This window comes from Homo sapiens, chromosome 6 (genome assembly GCF_000001405.40).
Source record: "Homo sapiens chromosome 6, GRCh38.p14 Primary Assembly".
NCBI lineage: Eukaryota > Metazoa > Chordata > Mammalia > Primates > Hominidae > Homo > Homo sapiens.
Window position 1 is genome coordinate 135,353,410 of NC_000006.12, and position 23,656 is coordinate 135,377,065.

The 23,656-nt window shown below is 38.5% G+C and overlaps 1 protein-coding gene across 18 annotated transcripts in view; it reads right to left on the bottom strand.

Moving 5' to 3' along the window:
- The window catches only part of AHI1 (Abelson helper integration site 1), a 214,209-nt gene that overhangs the window by 69,878 nt on the left and 120,675 nt on the right, over nucleotides 1-23,656 (bottom strand). For all 18 annotated transcript variants that reach the window (XR_001743480.3, XR_007059277.1, XR_007059276.1 and 15 more), the window contains one exon: nucleotides 4,723-4,778. Coding sequence is in view for 15 of the 18 variants with exons in the window: in XM_047418943.1 (XP_047274899.1) it covers nucleotides 4,723-4,778 (56 nt within the window). In the remaining 3 variants the exon portion in view is untranslated. The remainder of the gene's footprint in view (nucleotides 1-4,722; nucleotides 4,779-23,656) is intronic.

The window sequence follows — 23,656 nt, forward strand, 5'->3', positions numbered from 1 at the left end:
AAAATGCAATAGATTGTAGAAAATAAAGTGCTTCCTTTGAATAAAGGACATTTCACTTAAACTCATACATGTATCTACATACAAGCTGTCCCAAATATTATGTTAAAATATGAAACAGCCATATTTTACATGAATATATGTATAAAGTATACAAAAGTATAATACTGCAATAGGTAGCAATCTTGTCAATCTACAGAATTGGCTAAACAATGATAACAATCTAACAACAATAACAACCCAACAGCTATTGAGTAAGTACAGATATTATATAATCCAAGAGATTCAGGATAAAATTTAATTTATATGATTCAGATCAGTACATTTATGAATAAGTTTAGTGTTAATGGCAAACAATATTACAAACATCTCAGAAATATTTCAGAATAACAAAATAAGACTAACGCATATTAAAGTTTACTACTGATGAAATACCATGTGACAAAAATTCATTCAGCCCTTAGAAAACTTTGAAGAAAGGTAACTGCAGAAGGAATAAATTAATAGCTTTTAAAATTGGTCTTATAAATATGAAGAATAATGAATCAACATTTAAATTTCCAATCAGGTTAGAATGCTTTAAATTCTAATAATTAAAGGAATACTTAAGACACATGGCAAGCGTTTCATAGTTGGTATAATCCTGATGAGACAGTCTGAATTTTATTTCAACCTGTTGTGATAGATGTGTAGGCCTCTGTGAAAATGCAAGCTGTAATTTTATATACTGCCCAAAATCCATTTGCTAAAAGAAGCTTTGTTCTCTCTACCGGGGTTACAGGGTCACTGAATAAAAACTAAAAATATTAATATTAGTGTTACAAGTTTGGAATGTAGGAGCTTTACAAAAATTTAAGTTATTCATTCGAATAGGCCATATTGATGTCATTTGAATTTTATCATATTAGTTTTCACTGGAAGAGATTCAAAAACAGTACTCAAGACACTAGAAATTATATATTCAGTATGGCTTATCATGTTTCAATGTATTTTACATGTATATTAATTCTGCCAGAAAATATGAAAAGCTATGGGATTTGCCAAGCATATGACTGTACACTGAAAGGTAGATATGTTTTAACTATGTTCCAGGGGGAATACTTCCTTATGCTAGTTGCCATTTCCCTTTGATTTGCAAATAAGTCCTTCATTTAAAGTAAATACAGGACTCAAACTTGTGCTGACTTAACAATTAACTAACTTTTACACCTGCCTTTTAGGGTTCAGACAATAACCTCTGATTAATCTGGGCTGATATTATCCTTAACTTACTATAGGCGATAAGCAAGTGCAGAGGGACTAATTCTTAAAGTGGCATGATGTAAGTCTTTTCATATAATCTAACATCATGATTATCTCATGTCTTATTTACTTTTTCTATTATCAATAGTACAGTGTCTGAATGAATATCATTCAGGACAAAAATTAGTGAAAAGAAAGCCACACATTTAACCATCAAATCTGACCTAGGACATTAGGTATAAAGAAAATAAAACAATATCTATAATATACGAGCAGGCCACATAGGTTCCTTACACAAGAGAATGACTAGCAGTCTGATGTCCAATGTCTCTTCTGCAATACTAAACGCCAGAATGCAAAGATAATCAACTTCCACAATGTTTTGAGGAGAAAAGGTTAAGTTCAAGTAATTAAAAATCTTGGCAAGCTGTCTAATAGTAAAGGCAATTGACAAGTATTTAAAAATATGCAGACTCAGATAATTCACTTCCCATTTTCTAATTCTTGAAGAACAACTAGAAAATGTACTCTGAGGTATAAACAAAATGAAGAGCTCAGCATGCCAAAAAAATTAAGTGATTATAGACAGTTAAAAATAGAGGTTTGATTCTTTTTGACGAAAGGGGTGTCACATCATGTGGAGATTTTTTTCACTTTCTATTAAAGGTATCTCAAAAAAACAAATATGGTACTATTTGTAAGAAAGAAAAAAAAAACCCAAACAAAAAAATCAAAGTTCATGTAGTAAATGAAAAACAAAAAGGAAACAAGTGAATTAAAAAGAGAGTGAGAGGTGACATGGAACAAAGGGACAGAGGTGGTTTTGTTCTCAGGCTGATCTTTATTTACTGAAGGGACACTGGATTGTATTATAGTACTATAGAATCAAACTCAAGTTTGATTGACCATAACCATATATTTACTGAAAACTTCACTTAGAATTCCAACTTGGAATGTTAAGAAACATATCGGCTGGGCGCGGTGGCTCATGCCTGTAATCCCAGCACTTTGGGAGGCTGAGGTGGGCAGATCACGAGGTCAGGAGTTTGAGGCCAGCCTGACCTACACGGTGAAACCCCATCTCTACTAAAAATACAAAAATTAGCTGGGCGTGGTTGTGGACGCCTGTAATCCCAGCTACTTAGGAGGCTGAGGCAGGAGAACTGCTTGAACCCGGGAGACGGACATTGCAGTGAACTGAGATTGCGCCACGGCACTCCAGCCTGGGCAACAGAGCGAGACTCTGTCTCAAAAAAACAAACAAACAAACAAACAAACATATCTTTCCCTTGAAAAGAGGTCTGATAAATTCTCATTTGCTCACTTCCCTCACCCATTTAATGGCTGCAACTAGCATATACCACTCTCCTAGAACTGCCATTCATGGCAGTACTTGGAGCAAGGGGAACGTGGGCATGAAAATGGGTAAAGAAGTAAGCTGGGAATTGAGGGTTAGGTCTGGGGTCGAGAAGTCACTCAGGGTCCCAGCCTCAGCTATTCTAAAATCCTGGCCCACTCCCTTTCTGTTTTTTTCTCAGGCTCTAACAGATACTTAAATCATGGTATCTCTTCTTTTTTTGGGTCAGTAGAATACAAAATTTGGGGCTACAAATATTCCACTTTGATAATTTTTAGACTCCTTTTTTTCCTCCCTAAACATTTTCTTCTCCTAAGCCCTTTAAAGAAAATAAGAGAAGATAGGTTCAAGGATGGAAATTAGATAAAATTACATTTCTGTGAAAATCAGACTTTACTTGTCCTGGTCTGGGACCAGAGGGCACTGGGCAATAATAATGAACAGACTTATGATTCTATTTAGAGGTTATGGAGAAAGGGCAAAGATTAAGTGTTGGAAAGCCAGGGGCTGTTGGGGAGAGAGGTAGTAACATCCTTACTTTGTAGTAGAGACACAGAAGGAGAAGAGTAGCCAATCCTTCCTCAGAAAAATACATCAAAAAGGACTGAATATATTATTCAAATACATTAAAATAATAAATTTTTCTTAATTGCCATTCTTTAATTTTTTAATACTAAAGAATAAAATTTATATCATGTTATGGCTACTCTTTTAGCATACTTACTAAAGGATAACTGAAACATACATACTACAGTCAAGTTCTTTTTAATGATTATGCTAATTCCTCATGTACTGGTCTTTTCTAAAGTCCCACATATTAAGTTATCAAACATGTTAAATCAATCATAGGGATTTATTACAAATAAAAAATAGAGTCAATTTGCTACTGAGGCATATATTAATCATCAACACAATTCAAATACTTTAATATTACCTTTATTTATTTATTTTTGAGATGGAGTCTTGCTCTGATGCCAGGCTGAAGTGCAGTGGTGCAATCTCGGCTCACAGCAACCTTCACCTCCTGGGTTCAAGCGATTCCCCTGCCTCAGCCTCCCGAGTAGCTGGGACTACAGGCATGCACCACCATGCCCAGATAACTTTTTGTATTTTAGTAGAGATGGGGTTTCACCATGTTGGCCAGGATGGTCTCAATCTCCTGACCTTGTGATCTGCCCGCCTTGGCCTCCCAAAGTGCTGGGATTACAGGCGTGAGCCACTGTGTCCGGCCATCTTTATTTTCTTAATTGGTACAGTTTGACTATCCCTAATCCAAAAACCTGAAATATGAAATCCTCCAAAATCTGAAACTTTATGAACATTGACATGACTTTCAAAGAAAATGTTCATTGGGACATTTTGGATTTCTAATTTTTGGCTCAGGGATGCAGGAAGTGTAACACAAATGTTCCAAAATTTGAAAAAGACCAAAATCCAAAACACTTCTGGTCCTAAGCATTTTGGATAAGGGATACTCAACCTATATTACCAAATCTTTCTCACAATAGGAAATGGAGAATCACAGGAAGTACTTGGAAGACTTATGAATGCAAAGGATAAGAAATAAGAGTAGGATTAGGGAATGTACAGTGTACTCTATATCATCTTATGAGTCTTTCAATTGCAAACTAGCAACTAATATATGTTTCACACAAATATCATATTCAGAGACTAAAAGGGAAATCTAATAATTATCTTCCTTCTATTAATACAACTTTTTAAATATAGTGAATAGATGCTATAATTGTTAAATGCCTTTTGTTGAGAAGAAGGATAAAAGATAAGACTTCAGTTCTATAATAATAAAGCAAAGTAACCTATAAGAGAAATGAAGCATAATGGCCTTTTTTCACTATTATAAAACATTCACTTTAAATAATGATGCTAGTGCACAAAATAACATTCATTTTTAGAAGGGTAAAAATCAATTTGCACAAATACTTACATTACATTATCAAAACTATAAATTATTTCTAAGTTAACAACATTAATATGAACAAATCTTGCAGGGATATAACTTTTGGCAAAAAGGTTTTAAGAGTTTTCTACAATGGCACTGTAACTATAACCAGTATAATTTTGTACTTTCTTAACACTTTTAACAACGTAGCAACAGACTGTCTTACCGTTGGTGCTGTATCTACCTGATGGTTACAAGGCTTTCTTTCTATGCTGATAATCCCTGTGGAAAGAAAACATTGTGAGTATTTGGTTATTAAGCCTGTCCATTTTATGTTGAAAATATTCATGCCATTTTATTGGAAAAACATTTATTATGACTCACACAGCTTCCAAGAAAAAAGTCTCACTTGGAAGGCAAGATCCTTTTAAGATGTATCATGAATTCTTTGGTCAGAAACAGTTGGTCTAAACTGACTCAAGGTTAGCTAAGCCTTTTTTCCCATTCAAGTGATGTCTAGCAATAGCGCAAGATGTGTCCACATCCTGCTCTCAACTCAAAAATTACACCATTATCTGGGCTCTGCTGCTTTTCTTCCATGAAAGTTTTATTTCTGATTCAAGGATATGAAGTTTTTAAAAAGAAGTATCACAAGGGCTATGAAGTGAATCACTACTGTCTTATTTTCTCAAAAGAATAAATAAATCCATCTGAATTTCTCTTTGATCATCTGACTTCCTACTATGACATACTCTATTTATTCAATCACCATGAGTATCTGAAGAAAAATGTTCCCCTGATTCCCTCCTTTAAAATGATAACACAGATGGCTAATCTTGAGAAATATTCTTTTATCATGTGTGGATTTATCTTTTTGTTCCCAATGTTCTCTACTGCATTTCTTTGTAATAAACACCCTTTCAGGACGTGACACAGGGGATCTCATCTGTAAAGATACTGGTTCAAAGTCTAACTCAAGTTAAAAATGAACACAAGTGTGGGTCTTGTTTAATTCCTAATTTCTGGCCACCAGCAAACTAACATATAATTTAGGATATTAACATAGTTTGTTCAAACAATGCTAAAGGCTGTCATATGCAGGACAAGAGGCAAGAACTACAATGTCTGTTAATAGCAATTAGTAAAATTCCTAGTTTAAATGTTAGTTTCTCTTCTACAAGCATATGACTCATTTTTCTTAAAGTACGGTAAAGGATTAAGTGAGATCAACACAAACAATCACTTTTTATCGCTTTGCAAGAGTATTTTCAAAATGAATCATGAAACATGCAGTTTTTGTTTCATTAATTTTTTGTAACATTTATTGTTAGCCAGTGAAGTATAAAGCACTATACTACCTTCATTCAATTGACTAATATTTTTGAGTGGTTATTCTTGGTACTCAGTGATAAAAGATGAATATATTACAGTTTCTGACTATAAGAGTCTAGTAAAACATGGATATCCTTTTCTGAAGAATTACCACAGAGCAAATGAACAGAGTTTCATCTTAAGTGTAATAAAATCTTTAAGGTAATTTTGATGGAAAGACACTCTTATTCATAGAGTAACACCAGTTTTGGGTTAATTTTTTTTCAAAGGGTACAACATGCAGGCAAATAAGTAATGTAGATTCCTATTGTAAGATTTTAACAATATAGAAATATAGAGAGAATAAATTGAGAAATCCCAACTTTGTCAGCCCCTACAGTCTCACAATCCTAGCTGCAAACACTGAGAATAGTGTGGCATGGCAACTGGCTTTCAAATGAGAGTGGTCATGCCAGAGTTCAGCAATTAACAACATCTTACACACGTCTTCTCACTATTGTAATCTGACTGTTATAAAATTGACCTAGGCTGATTACTGATTTTTAAATTCTTATCTAAACAGAAAGTAATTTTAATTGGAGAAAAGGAACTTTAAAATAATAAAAACCAAAGCAAACCAGGCAAAAATCTATATATACAGTTTATACAATACCAAGAAAAAAACAAAAAAAACTCTACAGATTTTAGTGTTTCCATTTTAGGATAAGAATGTGTTGAAAATTAGAATTTCAAAAACTGGATTATCCAAAGTTATAATCTTAGTTTTAAATTTAGATTACATATATAAATAATATTTGGAAATACAATCATGCATGTTTGTTCAAGCTTGCAGTAAAAAATATATAGAAAGGAATAAACTTTAGAAAAAAATGTATCAAAATAACTTCCTATTTTAGGTAAATTTTACTTAAAAATCTGTATTTGTATCTCATTTCACTTTTATTAATGTATAACAATAATTGAAAGCTCATAATAAGTAGCATGCTATAATGGTTAGTATTATATGTCTACTTAGCTAGGCCATGGTACCCAGATACTTGATCAAACATTATTCTAGATATTTCTTTGAAGGTTTTAGATGGAATTAACATTTAAATCAACAGGCTTTGAGTAAAGCACACTGCCCTCCATGATGTTAAGTGGGCCTCATCCAATCAGATGAAGGCCTTAAGAAAATGACAACTCACCTGAGAGCGAGGGGATTCTGCCAACAGGCTGCCTTCAGACTGGAACTGCAACTCTTTCCTACGTCTCCCTCCTGTTGGCCTAGCCTGCAGATTTTGGTCTTGCCAGCCCCCACAATGTTTGAGACAATTCCTTAAAGTAAATCTTTCTCTCTCTATGGTCTTCCTACTGGTTCTGTTTCTCTGGAGAACCCTGACTAGTAATATACTTACTTTCTGGGACATATGAAATAAATAAAAATGCTATTGCTTATACTCTAAATTATAAATGTTATGTTCATTCAACATAATTGTGTAGGAATATAGTTAAAATGTTGATGTTAGTATGAAATATTTTAAAATCTGCATATATCCGAATGAACTCAGGAATATATAGATAGAATAAATCGACCTATCAACAAATAAAAATGAAAAAAATTATAAAAGCAGTCTGTCAGCAGAATAAAGAATCAATCTATCAATAAATATTACTGCTAGGTTGTCCAGTCTAACAATCTCTGCCTTTCAATGATTTGACTATTTACATTTAATGCAATTACTCATATGGCTTTGCTGAAGTTTAGCATTTTGCTATCTTATTGCATTTCTTTTTGTTCTTTTCTTCCTCTTTTTCTATATTCTTTTGCAATAGTCAAATAGTTTTACTCTTCCATTTTATGTCCTCTGATGGCTTTTTAGTTACATCTCTTCATATTTTTTAATGGCTAATGTAGAGATTACAACGTACCACTGTACTATACCTTGAATTAGGATTTCTTCTACTTCAAGAATAATATAAGCAACTTAAAACAGTGTTAACCCCATTTATTCAACCACCCTTTATGCTTTTGCTGCCTTATATTTAACTTCTATATGTTATAAACACCACAATATATTGTCAGTATTGTTGTTTTAAACTGATATATTTATCTTTATCCCTTCTTGCAGATCCAGGCTTTCACATGAGATCATTAATCCCCTGTTATTTTGTAGTGTAAGTCTGCTGGTGACTATGTTTTTTCCTGAAAAATCTTTAGTAGGGATTCATTTACAAAGAATGTTTTGCTGGGTATTGAAATCTAGGTTAATAGCCATTTTCTTTTAGAAAATGATTTCATTCCATTATTTCTTATGAGAAGGAAGTCATCATTCTTACTATGATTTCCCTGAACGTAACACTTTTCCCCTCTGGCTGCTTTTGTAATTTTCTTTTTAGTTTAATCAGGAGGTACCTAGGTATGGTTTCACACACACACACACACACACACACACACACACACACACACACACACACGTGTGTATATTTATACTCTAAAGGAATATAAATTTTTCATTTTCTTCAGTTTAATTAGGAGGTATCTATGGTTTCATTTATATATATGTATACGTGTATGTGTGTATCTTTGGATTTTGCTAAGCTTTTAAATTTTATTTTTTTTGATTTTATTTTTTATTTCAATAGGTCTTTGAGGAACAAGTGGTGTTTGGTTACATGGGTAAGTTCTTTAGTGGTGATTTATGAGATTTTGTGTATCTGTCACCCAAGCAGTGTACACTGTACCCAATGTGTACTCTTCTATCCCTCACCCCTGTCCCACCCTTTCCAAGTCCCCAAAGTCCTTAGAATAAGAGTCTCCAATTCTATCCAGGTTGCTGTGAATGCCATTATTCCATTCCTTTTTATGACTAAGTAGTATTCCATGGTGTGTGTGTGTAGGTGTGAGTGTGTGTATATATATATATGTATAAAGAAAATGTGGTGTATATACACATATATATACTTGGTGATTGATGGGCATTTGGGATGGTTCCGTATTTTTGCAATTGCAAATTGTGCTGCTATATATAAACATGTGTGTGCAAGTATCTTTTTTGTACAGTGACTTTTTTTTCCCTCTGGGTAGATGGTAGCGGGATTGCTGGAGCAAAAGCGCTACTTTTCTTAGGTTGGTGCAAAAGTAATTGCAGATTTTGCTAATTGAAACTAATGGCAAAAACTGCAGTAACTTTTGCACCAACCTAATAGTTCTTTAAGGAATCTCCACACTGTTTTCCATAGTGGTTGTACTAGTTCATGTTCCCACCGGCAATGCAGGGATGTTCCCTTTTCACCACATTTACACCAACATCTATTATTTTTTGATTATGGCCATTATTGCAGGAGTAAGGTGGCATCACATTGCAGTTTTGATTTGCAGTTCCCTGATCATTAGTGATGCTGAGCATTTTTTCATATGCTTGTTGGCCATTTGTATATCTTCTTTTGACAACTGTCAATTGTCTATGCATGTCCTTAGCCCACTTTGTGATGGGATTTTTTTTTTCTTGCTGATTTGTTTGAGTTCCTTGTAGATTCTGTATAGTAGTCCTTTGTCAGATGCATACTTTGAGAAGATTTTCTCCCACTCTGTGGGTTCTCTGTTTACTCTGCTGATTCTTTTGCTGTGCAGAAGCCTTTTAGTTTAAGTTCCATCTATTTATCTTTGTTTTTGTTGCAATTGCTTTTGGGTTCTTGATCATAAAGTCTTTGCCTAAGCCAATGTCTAGTAGTGTTTTTCCAATATTATCTTCCAGAATTTTTATGATTCTGGGTCTTAGATTTAAGTCTTTCATCCATCTTTTTTTTAAATTTTATTTTATTTTATTATTATTATTATTATTATTTTTATTGATCATTCTTGGGTGTTTCTCGCAGAGGGGGATTTGGCAGGGTCACAGGACAATAGTGGAGGGAAGGTCAGTAGATAAACAAGTGAACAAAGGTCTCTGGTTTTCCTAGGCAGAGGACCCTGCGGCCTTCCGCAGTGTTTGTGTCCCTGGGTACTTGAGATTAGGGAGTGGTGATGACTCTTAAGGAGCATGCTGCCTTCAAGCATCTGTTTAACAAAGCACATCTTGCACCGCCCTTAATCCATTCAACCCTGAGTGGATACAGCACATGTTTCAGAGAGCACAGGGTTGGGGGTAAGGTCACCGATCAACAGGATCCCAAGGCAGAAGAATTTTTCTTAGTACAGAACAAAATGAAAAGTCTCCAATGTCTACCTCTTTCTACACAGACACGGCAACCATCCGATTTCTCAATCTTTTCCCCACCTTTCCCCCCTTTCTATTCTACAAAACCGCCATTGTCATCATGGCCTGTTCTCAATGAGCTGTTGGGTACACCTCCCAGACGGGGTGGTGGCCGGGCAGAGGGGCTCCTCACTTCCCAGTAGGGGCGGCCGGGCAGAGGCGCCCCTCACCTCCCGGACGGGGCGGCTGGCCGGGCGGGGGGCTGACCCCCCCACCTCCCTCCCGGACGGGGCGGCTGGCCGGGCAGAGGCGCCCCTCACTTCCCGGACGGGGCAGCTGGCCGGGCGGGGGTTGACCCCCCCACCTCCCTCCGGGACGGGGTGGTGGCCGGGCAGAGGGGCTCCTCACTTCCCAGTAGGCGCGGCCGGGCAGAGGCGCCCCTCACCCCCCGGACGGGGCGGCTGGCCGGACGGGGGGCTGACCCCCCCCACCTCCCTCCCGGATGGGGCGGCTGGCCGGGCGGGGGGCTGACCCCCCCACCTCCCTCCCGGACGGGGCGGCTGGCCGGGCAGAGGGGCTCCTCACTTCCCAGTAGGGGCGGCCGGGCAGAGGCGCCCCTCACCTCCCGGACAGGGCGGCTGGCCGGGCGGGGGGCTGACCCCCCCACCTCCCTCCCGGACGAGGTGGCTGCCGGGCGGAGATGCTCCTCACTTCCCAGACAGGGTGGCTGCTGGGCGGAGGGGCTCCTCACTTCTCAGACAGGGCGGTTGCCAGGCAGAGGGTCTCCTCACTTCTCAGACGGGGCGTCCGGGCAGAGACGCTCCTCACATCCTGGACGGGGCGGCAGGGCAGAGGTGCTCCCCACATCTCAGACGATGGGCGGCCGGGCAGAGACGCTCCTCACTTCCCAGATGTGATGGCGGCCGGGAAGAGGCGCTCCTCACTTCCTAGATGGGATGGCAGCCGGGCAGAGACGCTCCTCACTTTCCAGACTGGGCAGCCAGGCAGAGGGGCTCCTCACATCCCAGACGATGGGCGGCCAGGCGGAGACGCTCCTCACTTCCCAGACGGGGTGGCGGCCGGGCAGAGGCTGCAATCTCAGCACTTTGGGAGGCCAAGGCAGGCGGCTGGGAGGTGGAGGTTGTAGCGAGCCGAGATCACGCCACTGCACTCCAGCCTGGGCACCATTGAGCACTGAGTGAACGAGACTCCGTCTGCAATCCCGGCACCTCGGGAGGCCGAGGCTGGCGGATCACTCGCGGTTAGGAGCTGGAGACCAGCCCGGCCAACACAGCGAATCCCCGTCTCCACCAAAAAAATACGAAAACCAGTCAGGCGTGGCGGCGCACGCCTGCAATCGCAGGCACTCGGCAAGCTGAGGCAGGAGAATCAGGCAGGGAGGTTGCAGTAGGCCGAGATGGCAGCAGTACCGTCCAGCTTCGGCTTGGCATCAGAGGGAGACCGTGGAAAGAGAGGGAGAGGGAGACCGTGGGGAGAGGAAGAGGAAGAGGGAGAGGGAGAGGGAGAGGGAGAGGGAGTGGGAGCGGGAGCGTCTTTCATCCATCTTGAGTTGATTTTTGTATAAAGTGAGAGATGAGGATCCAGTTTCATTCTTCTACATGTGGCTTGCCAATTATCCCAGCACCATTTGTTGAACAGGGTGTCCTTTCCTCACTCTATGTTTTGTTTGCTTTGTCGAAGATCAGTTGGCTGTTAAGTATGTGGGTTTATTTCTGGGTTCTCTATTCTGTTTCATTGGTCTAAGATCAGTACTATGCTCTTTCGATGACTATAGCTTTATAATATAGTTTGAAGTTGGGTAATGTGATGCCTCCATATTTGTTCTTTTTGCTTAGTCTTGCTTTCGCTACATGGGCTCTTTCTTTGGTTCCATATTAATTTTAGGATTGTTTTCTAGTTCTGCGAAAAATGATGGTGGTATTTTGATGGAAATTGCATTGAATTTTTTATTGCTTTTGGCAGTACGGTCATTTTCACAATATTGGTTTTACCCATCCATGAGCATGGGATGTGTTTCCATCTTTTTTTGGTGTCATCTGTGATTTCTTTCAGCACTGTTTTTTACTTTTCCTTGTAGAGATCTTTCACCTCCTTGGTTAGGTACATTCCTAAGTATTTTATTTTATGTTTTGCAGCTACTGTAAAGGGGGTTCAGTTCTTGGTTTGATTCTCAGCTTGGTCACTGTTGCTATTTAGCAGTGCTACTGATTTGTGTACATTGATTTTGCATCCAGAAACTCTACTGAATTAATTTATCAGATCTAGGAGCTTTTTGGATGAGTCTTTAGCGTTTTCTAGGTATACAATCATATCATTGGCAAACAGTGACAGTTTGACTTCTTTACTGATTTGAATGTCCTTTATTTCTTTCCCTTGTGTGATTGCTATGGCTAGGACTTCCAGTATTATGTTGAACAGAAGTGGTGAAAGTGGGCATCCTTGTCTTGTTCCAGTTCTCAGGGGGAGTTCTTTCAACTTTTCCCTGTTCAGTATAATGTTGGCTGTGGGTTTGTCACAGATGGCTCTTATTACCTTAAGGTATGTCCCTTCTACATCAATTTTGCTGAGGGTTTTAATCATAAAGGACGCTGGATTTTGTCAAATGCTTTTTCTCTTGAGATGACCACATGACTTTTATTTTTAATTCTGTTTAAGTTGTGTATCACACTTATTGACTTGCATATGTTAAACCATCCCTGCTTGATCATGGTACATTATCTTTTTGATATGCTACTGGATTTGGTTAGCTAGTATTTTGTTGAGGATTTTTGCATTTATGTTAATCAGGGATATTGGTCTGCAGTTTTCTTTTTTTTTTGTTACGTCCTTTCCTGGCTTTGGTATTACGGTGATACGGGATTCATAGAATGATTTAGGAAAGATTCCCTTGTTCTCTATCTTTTGGAATAGTGTCAGGAGGATTGGTAACAATTCTTCTTTGAATGTCTGATAGAATTCAGCTGTGAATCCATCTAGTCCTGGACTTATTTTTGATGGCAAATTTTTTATTACCATTTCAATCTTTGTGCTTGTTATTGGTCTGTTCAGAGTTTCTATTTTTATGCTGTTTTATCCAGAAGGATAGTATATTTCCAGCAATTTATCTATCTCCTCTAGGTTTTCTGATTTGTATGCATAAAGGCTTTCACAGTAGTCTTGAACAATCTTTTGTATTTCTGTGGTTTGGTTGTAATATCCCCCATTTCATTTCTAATTGAGCTTATTTGGATCTTCTCTCTTCTTTTCTTGGTTAATCTCACTAATGGTCTATCGATTTTGTTAATCTTTTCAAAGAACCAGCTTTTCATTTCATTCATCTTTTGTATTTTTTTGTTGTTTCATTTAGGTCTGCTCTGATCTTTGTTATTTTTTCTCTTCTGCTGGGTTTGGGTTTGGTTTGTTCTTGTTTCTCTAGTTCCTTGAGGTGTGACCTTAGTTTGTCTGCCTGTGCTCTTTCAGATGATTGTAGGCATTTACGGCTATGAACTTTCCTCTTAGCACTGCTTTTGCTGTATCCCAGCAGTTTTGACAAGTTGCATCACTATTATCATCCAGTTCAAAGAATTTTTAAATTTCCATCTTGATTTCATTGTTGACCCAATGATCATTTGGGATCAGTTTATTTAACTTCCATGTATTTACATGGTTTTGAGGGTTCCTTTTGGAGTTCCTTCATTTATGAAGCTTAGTTCCTCTGGATACAAAATTCTTGGCTGATGATTGTTTTGTTTAAGGCGGCTAAAGATAGGACCCCAATCCCTTCTAGCTTCTAGGATTTCTGCTAAGAAATCTGCTGTTAATCTGACAGATTTTCCTTTATAGGTTACCTGATGCTTTTGCCTCACAGCTCTTAAGATTCTTTCCTTCATCTTGACTTTAGATAACCTGATGATGTGACTAGGTGATGATCTTTTTGTGATGAATTTCCCAGGTGTTCTTTGAGCTTCTTATATTTGGATGTCTGTATCTCTAGCAAGACCAGGGACGTTTCCCTAGATTATTCCCTCAAGTATGTTTTCCAAACTTTTGGATTTCTCTTCTTCCAGGAACACCAATTATTCTTAGATTTGGTCATTTAACATAATACCAAACTTCTGAGAGGCTTTGTTCATTAAAAAAATTTTTTCTTTGTCTTTGTCGGCTTGGGTCAATTAGAAAGCCTTGTCTTTCAGCTCTTATGTTCTTTCTTTTACTTGTTTGAGTCTATTGGTAAGACTTTCCAGTGTATTTTGCATTTCCCTAAATGTGTCCTTCATTTCCAGAAGTTGTGATTGTTTTTTTTCATGCTGCTTCTCTGGAGATTTTTCCATCCATATCCTGTATCATTTAAAAAATTTCTTTAAGTTGGTATTCACCTTTCTCTGGTGCCTCCTTGAGTAGCTAAATAATTGACCTTCAGAATTCTTTTTCTGGCAATTCAGAGATTTCTTCTTGGTTTGGATCCATTGCTGGTGAGCTAGTGTGATCTTTTGGGGGTGTTAAAGAACCTTGTTTTGTCATATTACCAGAATTGTTTTTCTGGCTCCTTCTCATTTGGGTAGATTATGTCAGAGGGGAAGATCTGTGGCTCAAGGACTATTGTTCAGATTCTTCTGTCCCACGGGATGCCCCTGATGTGGTGCTCTCCCCATTCCCCTAAGGATGGGGCTTCCTGAGAGCTGTGATCGTTGTTTTTCTTCTGGGCCCAGCCACCCAGCAGAGCCACCAGGCTCCGTGTTGGTACTGGGGAGTTTCTGCAGAGTCTGGTGATGTGATCCGTCTTCAGGTCTCTCAGCCATGGATACCAGCCCCTGCGCTGGTGGAGGTAGCAGGGGAGTGAAGTGGATTCTGTGATGGTCCTTGGTTGTAGTTTTGTTTAGTGTGCTGGTTTTGTGTTGGTTGGTTTCCAGCCAGAAGGTGGTGCTTTCAAGAGAACATAAGCTGTGGTAGAATAGGGAGGGTACAAGCTTGCCCTAGGGTCACCTGGATAAGTATTCAGGTTTCTTAGGTGGTGGGCAGGGCCACAGAGCTCCCAAGAGATTATATCCTTTGTCTTAAGGTACCAGGACAGGTAGAGAAAGACCATGGTGGTGGTGGGGGGCACCCGCAGGATTAGGTATGTCTGAACTCAGACTCTCTTTGGGCGGGGCTTGCTGCAACTGCTGTGTGGGATGGGAATGTGGTTCTCAGGCTGATGGAGTTACTTTCCCAGGAGGATTATGGCTGCCACTGCTGTGTCATATAGGTCACCAGGGAAGTGAAGGAAAGGCAGTAGTTACAGGCCTCACCCAGTTCCCATGCATCCCAAAATGCCACTCTCGTTCCCACTCTACCCCTCAGTAGCAAAGAGTTTATTTCCAGGCAGCCAGTGAGCAGGGTTGAGAACTTGCCCCAGGCTACAAGCCTCCCTTCTGAGAAAGCAAGCAGGGCTTTTAGGTTTTGCACCTTCCCACCTGCTGTGGATTCTGTGCTCATATCTGCACTCCTCATTTGCTCCCTCCTTTGGATTCTGTCCAGGAAACTTTGCCTTCAGTTGAAATTGTTACAGACTTCAGCTAGAAGTTTCCTTCTCCTTGTTGTCTTTCTTCAATTCCACTGGCAGCCCTCCCCAAGGACTCCTGCAAGACAGTCAGGAATGCAGGAATGGCTTCCCTGAGGACCAAGAGTGCCCACAGGGCTCTTCCCACTGCTTCCTCTACCCCTATATTTCACTCGGCTCTCTAAATTTGTCTCAGCTCCAGGTAAGGTCAAATCCTTTTCTGGTGATCTGGACCTTCAGGTTCCCCAGTGAGGATGTGTGTTCAGGGGTGGACATTCCCTCTCTCACTCTTTGGGCACTAAGTTTTTCAGCTGTCTCACAGAGCATGTAGCAGCAAGCTGCCCCCTCTAACAGGTCTGTGGATTCTCTTGGCTTTTCTGGTAGTAGTTCTTGGAGCAAAAGTTCACAGTGTGATTCTCTGTGCACTGCTCTGTCCGTCCAAGTGGGAGCTGCAAGTTAGTCCTGCCTCCTATCTGCCATTTTGAGACAGCATCAACACAGTTATGGAAACAAGCTTTAAATGCTGATGACTGCTTCTCCTTGCTAAGCTTTTTATGTCTATAGGTTGTCTTTAATTAGAGGAAAACTACTAGCCCATTATTTCTTCAAATATTTCTTCACCCATATTTTCTGTTTTCCTTCTGCAATTCCAGTTGCATGTTTAATCCATTTCACAGGGACACACAGATATGACTCTTTCTTCTTCCCATGCCTCCTCTTCATCTTTGTTTCAATTTGAATAATCTGTATAATTTTTATTGTTTTGCCCTCCAGTTCAGTGGTCCTTTCTTTTAAGGTGTCCTATCTGTTGTTATCTGCTGTTATCTGTTGTTAGGTCCATCTAATGAATTTTCATTTTATCTGTTATAATCTTCAGGTCTAGACTATAATTCATTTATTTTTTAGGATTTCCATTTAAGAGAAATGGAAATCCTGACTTCCATGAAATTCTCCATCTTTGCACTCCTTTTGCTCATGGTTCCTCATAAGTTATTTAACATATGTGTAACAGATATTTTAAAATTCTTGCCTGCTAATGCCAACATTTTGATTATCTGTAGGATTCCTTTTATTCATTGTTCTTTTTCTTTGTTATGGGTCATCTATTTCTGCTAATTCACATGCCTCAGAATTTGATTATAGGTTAGAACTGCCAGACATGTAATCAGTAGACTGAAATAGCAAACGTCTTCCCTCAGAAAAGGCTCACCATTTCCTTTTTCAGAAAGCTAGGGTGAGGGGTAGATCTCTTTTCAAATCAGGAGCTGACTTGGGTTGGGACTGGGCTGTTGCTTAGTTAATTTCAATACACCTATTATAACTCTCCCCAAAATGAGATGAGTTATTCCTTCTAGGGGGACTTTGGGATTTAAACTTCTAGAGATTATGGGAACTCTCTCTGCCTTACTCCCAGTTTCCTGTCAGTGCTTAAGCTTCAAAAGTCCTCTTGGGGAGAACTGATAGGCGGAGAGGACTGAGTGACATTTGGGATCTTTCAGATTCCAATCTATCATGCCAGTCCACATAGTCCTTAGAAGTTCAGCTAATCTCTCCTTGCCTCAGCAGTAGCTCTGATTATAGAAGGCTTGCTCCTCTGTTTGCCTGGTTTCTATCTCAATAAATGTTCCCATGTATTTAAGTGACTGTTTGTCTTTACTTCTTTATGCAGTAGGGTTCATTTCTCTTTGCAATTTATTTTGTTTAGAATTCTCTGTGACCACATCTCTTTGATGGCTTTTTAGTTTATGTGAGGTCTTCTCAATAATATGGTAAGAGTGATGATCATTACAATGTACATATTAATTAGAAGCAAAACTCTACTTCCAATTATTTATATGGTTGCTTTTTAAAATTTTCTTGTTTTCGGTCTATTTCAGTGGATACTCCTTTTTTTTCTTGCCTGTTGATCTTGAATTCTTGTTTTCAATTTTACCAACACTTAAAATCTGCTATTAGTTCCCTTCTGGATTCTAACAGTAATAAATACATTTATTATTTATCCAAATAAATTTATGTCTAAACCTCTCTCCAACCAAGATACTATACATACCAATATCTCCTTGCTCCACATCAAGATTAAACTTTTAGAAGGCTTTTATTTCTCTATTCTTTTTATATAGTTAAGTTTAAAGAGATAAAAATGCATGGGAATTTGTAGAAGTGCTAAGTGTGAATTTATGAAACAAAATGATATAGTGTAAGAAAACACCTAATTTTTTCCTCTATGCCTAACAGAAAAATCTAATGTTTTCCTCTGTCTTGAGATTTCTGTTTCATTGAATTGTCATTTGGTTACAGTACTCTCTAAATCCTTGTATATCCAAATATGCCTTCCTTTGGATAAGAAACCCTTTATCTTGGTTGCCTATATGTTATTCCACTATCAGCCAGCTTCTAGTGTTTTAGATATGTCAGGTGCTCATGTGATTTTCTTTCCTATGTAAAGAACCTGTTCCTCCTCTATAGAAGCTTGTGATATTTTTCCTTTACCTAGGAAATCAGGAATTTCACTAGAGTACGGCTGAGTGCCTTTGTTATCATTAATCTTTTCCCGGGACTTGATAAACCCTTTGACCTGCAGAGTCTTATCATTCTTCTGCTCAGGGAAATTTTATTCTATTATTTAATTTTATAGCTCATCTTTACCTTCACAACTTTTATCTTCATGATAATCTTTTCAACTAATCTTCTATGTGAACATCCTTTCTACTCTAGAGATTTTAACATTTGAAGTCATATAGTTTAGTTTCTTTCGAAAGATCTACAAAGACTAAGACAAGAAGGCTAGCAAACCCTGGAGTATATATCAGAATGAAGTTTTCCTGGGATCTCAGTGCCAATATGTCAAGGCAAAGGGTTGGGGTGGGAGGACTTTGTTCTACTCGGTGTTGAGCAAGGATCTGTGCAGGGTAAGCAGGCTTTTTCCAAAGGTGTGAGTAGAAAATTAAGTTTTCAGAGTTCATTGAGGGCTTTCAGCCAGCAGAAGCTATAAATCCCCTTGGAAATGGGCAATATCTGTAAGTTTAATGTTTGTAGTACAATAAGGGCCTAGCAGATCCTATGAATCATAATAACCCTAAAAAGGGTCTATACACCTGGAAGAAATGGTTTCTGGAAGAACTGGCATTCAGTCCCAGTCATTGGGAGATGGCTGTAACTTGCAACTGATGAGACTTGAGAAGAGAGCCTTACTCCTGTGCCCCAGCAGAGGGGTATCAGTTGGGCAGGTTTGATTTTGCTACAACTCAGACTTCCATCAGTATAGCTGGGGCAATAGACCATGAAGAGGCAAAGAAAATAATTTTCTTCAAGAGCCTCAGTAGCCTGAAGAAGAAGAAATAAACTAGAACTGGTAGTGATACTGATGACAATAGAAGAATTAGAGAGTCTTTTAAATTAAACCAAAACAAACAAAAAACAACTATTAAGATTTCTTGCCAGGTGCAGTGGCTCATGTCTGTAATTCCAGCACTTGGGGAGGCTGAGGCAGAATTGTTTAAGCCCGGGAGTCTGAGACTAGCCCTGGCAACATAGCGAGACCCTGTCTCTACCGGAAAAAAAAAGAAAAAAAAAAAAGAAAAAAAAAATTAGCTGGATGTGGGTGTGCATGTGTAGTCCAGCTACTTGGGAGGATGGCTTGAGTTGAGCCTGGGAGGTCAAGGCTTCAGTGAGCTATGGTTGCACCACTGCACTCCAGCCCAGGTGACAGGGTGAGACTTTGTCAAATACACACAAAAGTTTAAGTTAATTACTAAACAACAAGATAACCCTATTTTAAAGGAAGGAAACAGTGGCTTTCAGAAAGTAAATTAGAAGGTAGGTAACATTCCTAAGGTCATATAACTAAAAGCAGCAGTACCTGGACTGACACCCACACCTCTAAGCCACAAACCCTTCAGACCCATTTATGTGTTTGTTTAGCCCCTGTGGTTGGGACCTGATTTTTTTCATCTTCATATCCACAGTGCCTAACCCAAATGCTTAAAATACAGAAGGTCTTCAAGAATTGACTCAAATATTAACTGAATGAATCTATTCTCCTATGCCACATTCACCAGATTCATATGCTACAATGCAGTGTTAGGTGTATTAGTCATCAGAATGCCTGAGTTAACGTACTAGGACTGTTTTAAAAAACGTTAATTTACCCTTTGGTAATGTTCCTAAACTTAGTGCAAAACTGAAATGTTTTACAGTCATGTGCTGAGTAATGATGTTTTAGTCAATGACAGATCGCATATACAATGAGGGTCTCATAAGATTATAATACTGCATTTTGCTGTACCTTTTCTATGTTTAGATACACAATTTTTACCATTGTATTACAACTGCCTATGGCATTAGGTATGGTCACATGCTGTACAGGTTTGTAGTGTAGGAACAGTTGGCCATACCATATAGCTTAGGTGTAGTAGGCTATACTATCTAGGTTTGTGTAAGTACACTCTATGATATTTGCATAATGAAAAAAATCACCTAACTATGCATTTCTTAAAATGTATCGCCACTGTTAAGCAATGCGTGACTATACTTAAACATTTCCCTAATTTCCCAGATACTAATACAGTCTAGAGAAGATAATAAAAGAAATTTTATGTTTCTTGGGAGACACTTTTAGTATTTATTTTGTAGAAAATCAGATCATGACATTTTATTCCATTGTACCTAATCTGAACAGCTGAAAGCATACATTTTTTAGTTTTCCTAAACCCTACCAACCTTTAACTCAGGACTACGATCAAAGAAAGAAGAACAAAGACAAACAGATAGGCTGCAAAACAAAAACAGACAGGAACATGTGCCAAGTTTTGAAGACAGAACATATGTCCAGCAATCTTATGTATCATTACCAAGTGGTTACAAGCTACTTGCTAAGCACAAGGCACTGTTCTGGGAACAGGAGAAGCTCTAACCTCCCTTTCATGACATCTTAAGAGTTACTTGTTTCGGGCAATATGATACCTATGCATCCTATGTCAGTTTTGGCAATCCCCGGGGATCTTTCTATATAGAACAGAGATAGAATTATGGTTTGATTATCTGTGCCTATGAAAACATGAGATTTATTACATTCCAGTAGAATACAGTTACTGAAGGCAGAGATCTTTTCTGCTAGTTTATATATACATATATATATATATATATATATATATATTTTTTTTTTTTTTTTTTTTTTTGAGATGGAGTCTTGCTCTGTTGCCTAGGCTGGAGTGCAGTGGCGCAATCTCGGCTTACTGCAAGCTCCACCTCCAGGTTCACGCCATTCTCCTGCCTCAGCCTCCCGAGTAGCTGGGACTACAGGTGCCCGCCATCACGCCTGGCTAATTTTTTGTATTTTTAGTAGAGACGGGGTCTCAGTGTGTTAGCCAGGCTGGTCTCGATCTCCTGACCTCGTGATCCACCCGCCTCAGCCTCCCAAAGTGCTGGGATTACAGGCGTGAGCCACCGCGCTCGGCCCTTTTCTGCTAGTTTAATGTGAAGAAGTTATCTGTACTGAGACTGCAAGCCTTTCTTAAGAACTGGAAAAGAAGGTAAACTATGTTTTGCAGATAATATAATTTTATATCTAGTAAGTCCAAAAGAATCAATGCTAAAATTAACACAATCAGTACCAGAACTAATAAACTGGAAAGTCAGCATCATATAAAATTTAATATACAAACGTCAATTTCTCTTACATATTCAAACAAATTAGAAGATACAATGAAAGAGAATATTTCACTTATAAGGGCAATATAAATAATAATATGAATAAATACAACAAAAAATGTGTAAAACAGTATGAAGAACACCTTAAAATACTTCTGAAAAACACAAAAGTCCAGGTGGCCCTTGACTTATGAAGGTCTGACTTAACAATTTTTCAACTTTACCATACTTTGAAAGTAACATGCTTTCAGTGGAAAGCATACTTTGAGTACCCATACAACTACTCAGTTTTTCACTTTCAGTGGAATATTCAATAAACTACATGAGATATTCAACACTTAATTATAAAATAGGCTTTGTCTTAGATGATGTGGCCCAACTGTATGCTAATGTAAGTGTTCTGAGCATGTTTAAGGCAGGCTAGGCTAAAGTATGATGTTTGGTAGGTTTGGATGCTTTTCTGACATATTATGGGTTTACTGGGCTATAACTCTATTGTAAGTCGAGGAGTATCTAGTTGGAACATCCCATGTTGTGTGACAAGACAATGTAGCATCATATAAATGTGAGCTCTCCCCAAGACAATATATAAATTTAATATGATTTTAATTTTTAAAAAGTTTTTTTTTCCAGCACTAGACAAGTTGATTCTGAAAATCATATAGAAGAACATGTAAGAATACCTTAAAAAAATCCCGAGGGGAAAAAAACGAGCAACCACTGGAAATAAACACTACTCAATATTAGTATATATCATAAAAAGCCTCTGTAACTAAAATAATGCAATATTAACACGAGTAGCCATGTAGATGAACAGAATAGATTAAAATGTTTAGAAAAAGATTCAAGTACATACGGTTTATGAAGAAGAAGAGATGTTTTCATATACATGGTGTTGGGACAATATGTTGGGGACAAGTGGATGGACATTTTGAAAAATAAATTGAATCCATACTTTGCAACATTTGTACTGCAAAGTCAAAAGCCAAATGACAAAATGGGAAAAATATTTGTAGCCTTTATTATTGATAAATGACAAGGCTCCCTATTATGTCAAACGAAAGCATACAAATATACAATAAAGACAACTGGGAATATCAATATAAACTTGATTTTGTAAAAATATATTTTCAAGTTATGTTCACTGAAAGGATCTAGAAGGAATGATTCCCCAATAGCAATGAGTGTACTTAGTCCCAGATTTTAGTTTCTAAATTGCATTACCTACTAATAGTATCAGAGTTCTTTGGAGAAATGACTGATTCCAGCTCTGGGGTAGGGATAGTACCAGATGAACTTAGGACATTATAAGCACAGAAGTGCTCAAAGGCTAACTGGTTCATATCAAAGGACATAAGAGCAGGAATGAATGGGCTCTCCTTTGCCAAATTGGGGACAATTTGAGCCACACTCAAAAAATGTTAGAAAAGTAGTACAACAAATTGAATGAAAAAAACCCATAGTACTCATATAGAAAGAAAGACAGGAATGGGGGGCGGGGCGGGGCGCAGTGGTGGGGGCAAAGAAAACACTCTACTGAAGAATAAGGTGATAACAGCACTAGAAAACACCATTTTGTATCCTCAGCCCACTACAATAATTATTTCAGGCTAGGATCATCAATGGACACTGAAATCACTAAGTAGGGTTACTAAGCCCACTAAGTAAGGAACACACACAAAGAACAAAGGAAGGTTGGGAACAAGATATTCACATGGCCTTAAAGTATCATTCCACAGATTATTCAACAATTACAAAGAAAAGAAAATTAATTTTTACAATGAAGAGATCTGGTGTTCACCACCTTAATTAAGGACTAAACTTGACAACACCAAAAGTGGGACAAGCTGACATGATATGCACCCGATATGATGCAAACCATTTACATGTACTTTGTAGATTTTTTTTATAGTATTTTTGCCAAAAAAGTTTAGCCTGAATATAATCAGGATGAAATACATTCAAAATGTTGGACATTTTATAAGACAGTGGGTCGAAGGCCGGGCGCAGTGGCTCACGCCTATAATCCCAGCACTTTGGGAGGCCAAGGTGGGCAGATCACGAGGTCAGGAGTTCGAGACCAGCCTGACCAACATGGTGAAACCCCATCTCTACTAAAAATACAAAAATTAGCTGGGCTTGGTGACGCATGCCTGTAATCCCAGCTACTCGGGAGGCTGAGGCAGGAGAATCACCTGAACCCGGGAGGCAAAGGTTGCAGTGAGCTGAGATCGCATCATTGCAATCCAGCCTCGGTGACAGAGCGAGACTCCATCTCAAAAAAAAAAAAAAAAAAAAAAAAAAAAAAAAAAAAAAAAGTTGGTCCAGTTTGACTCAAAAGTCAATGTCATAACAACCAAAGAAAGATTCTAGATTAACTGATATTAATGACACGACAAGCAATTTAAGTATGAATCTGGACTGGATGCTGAATAAAATAAGCAAGCAAACAAAAAACTGCT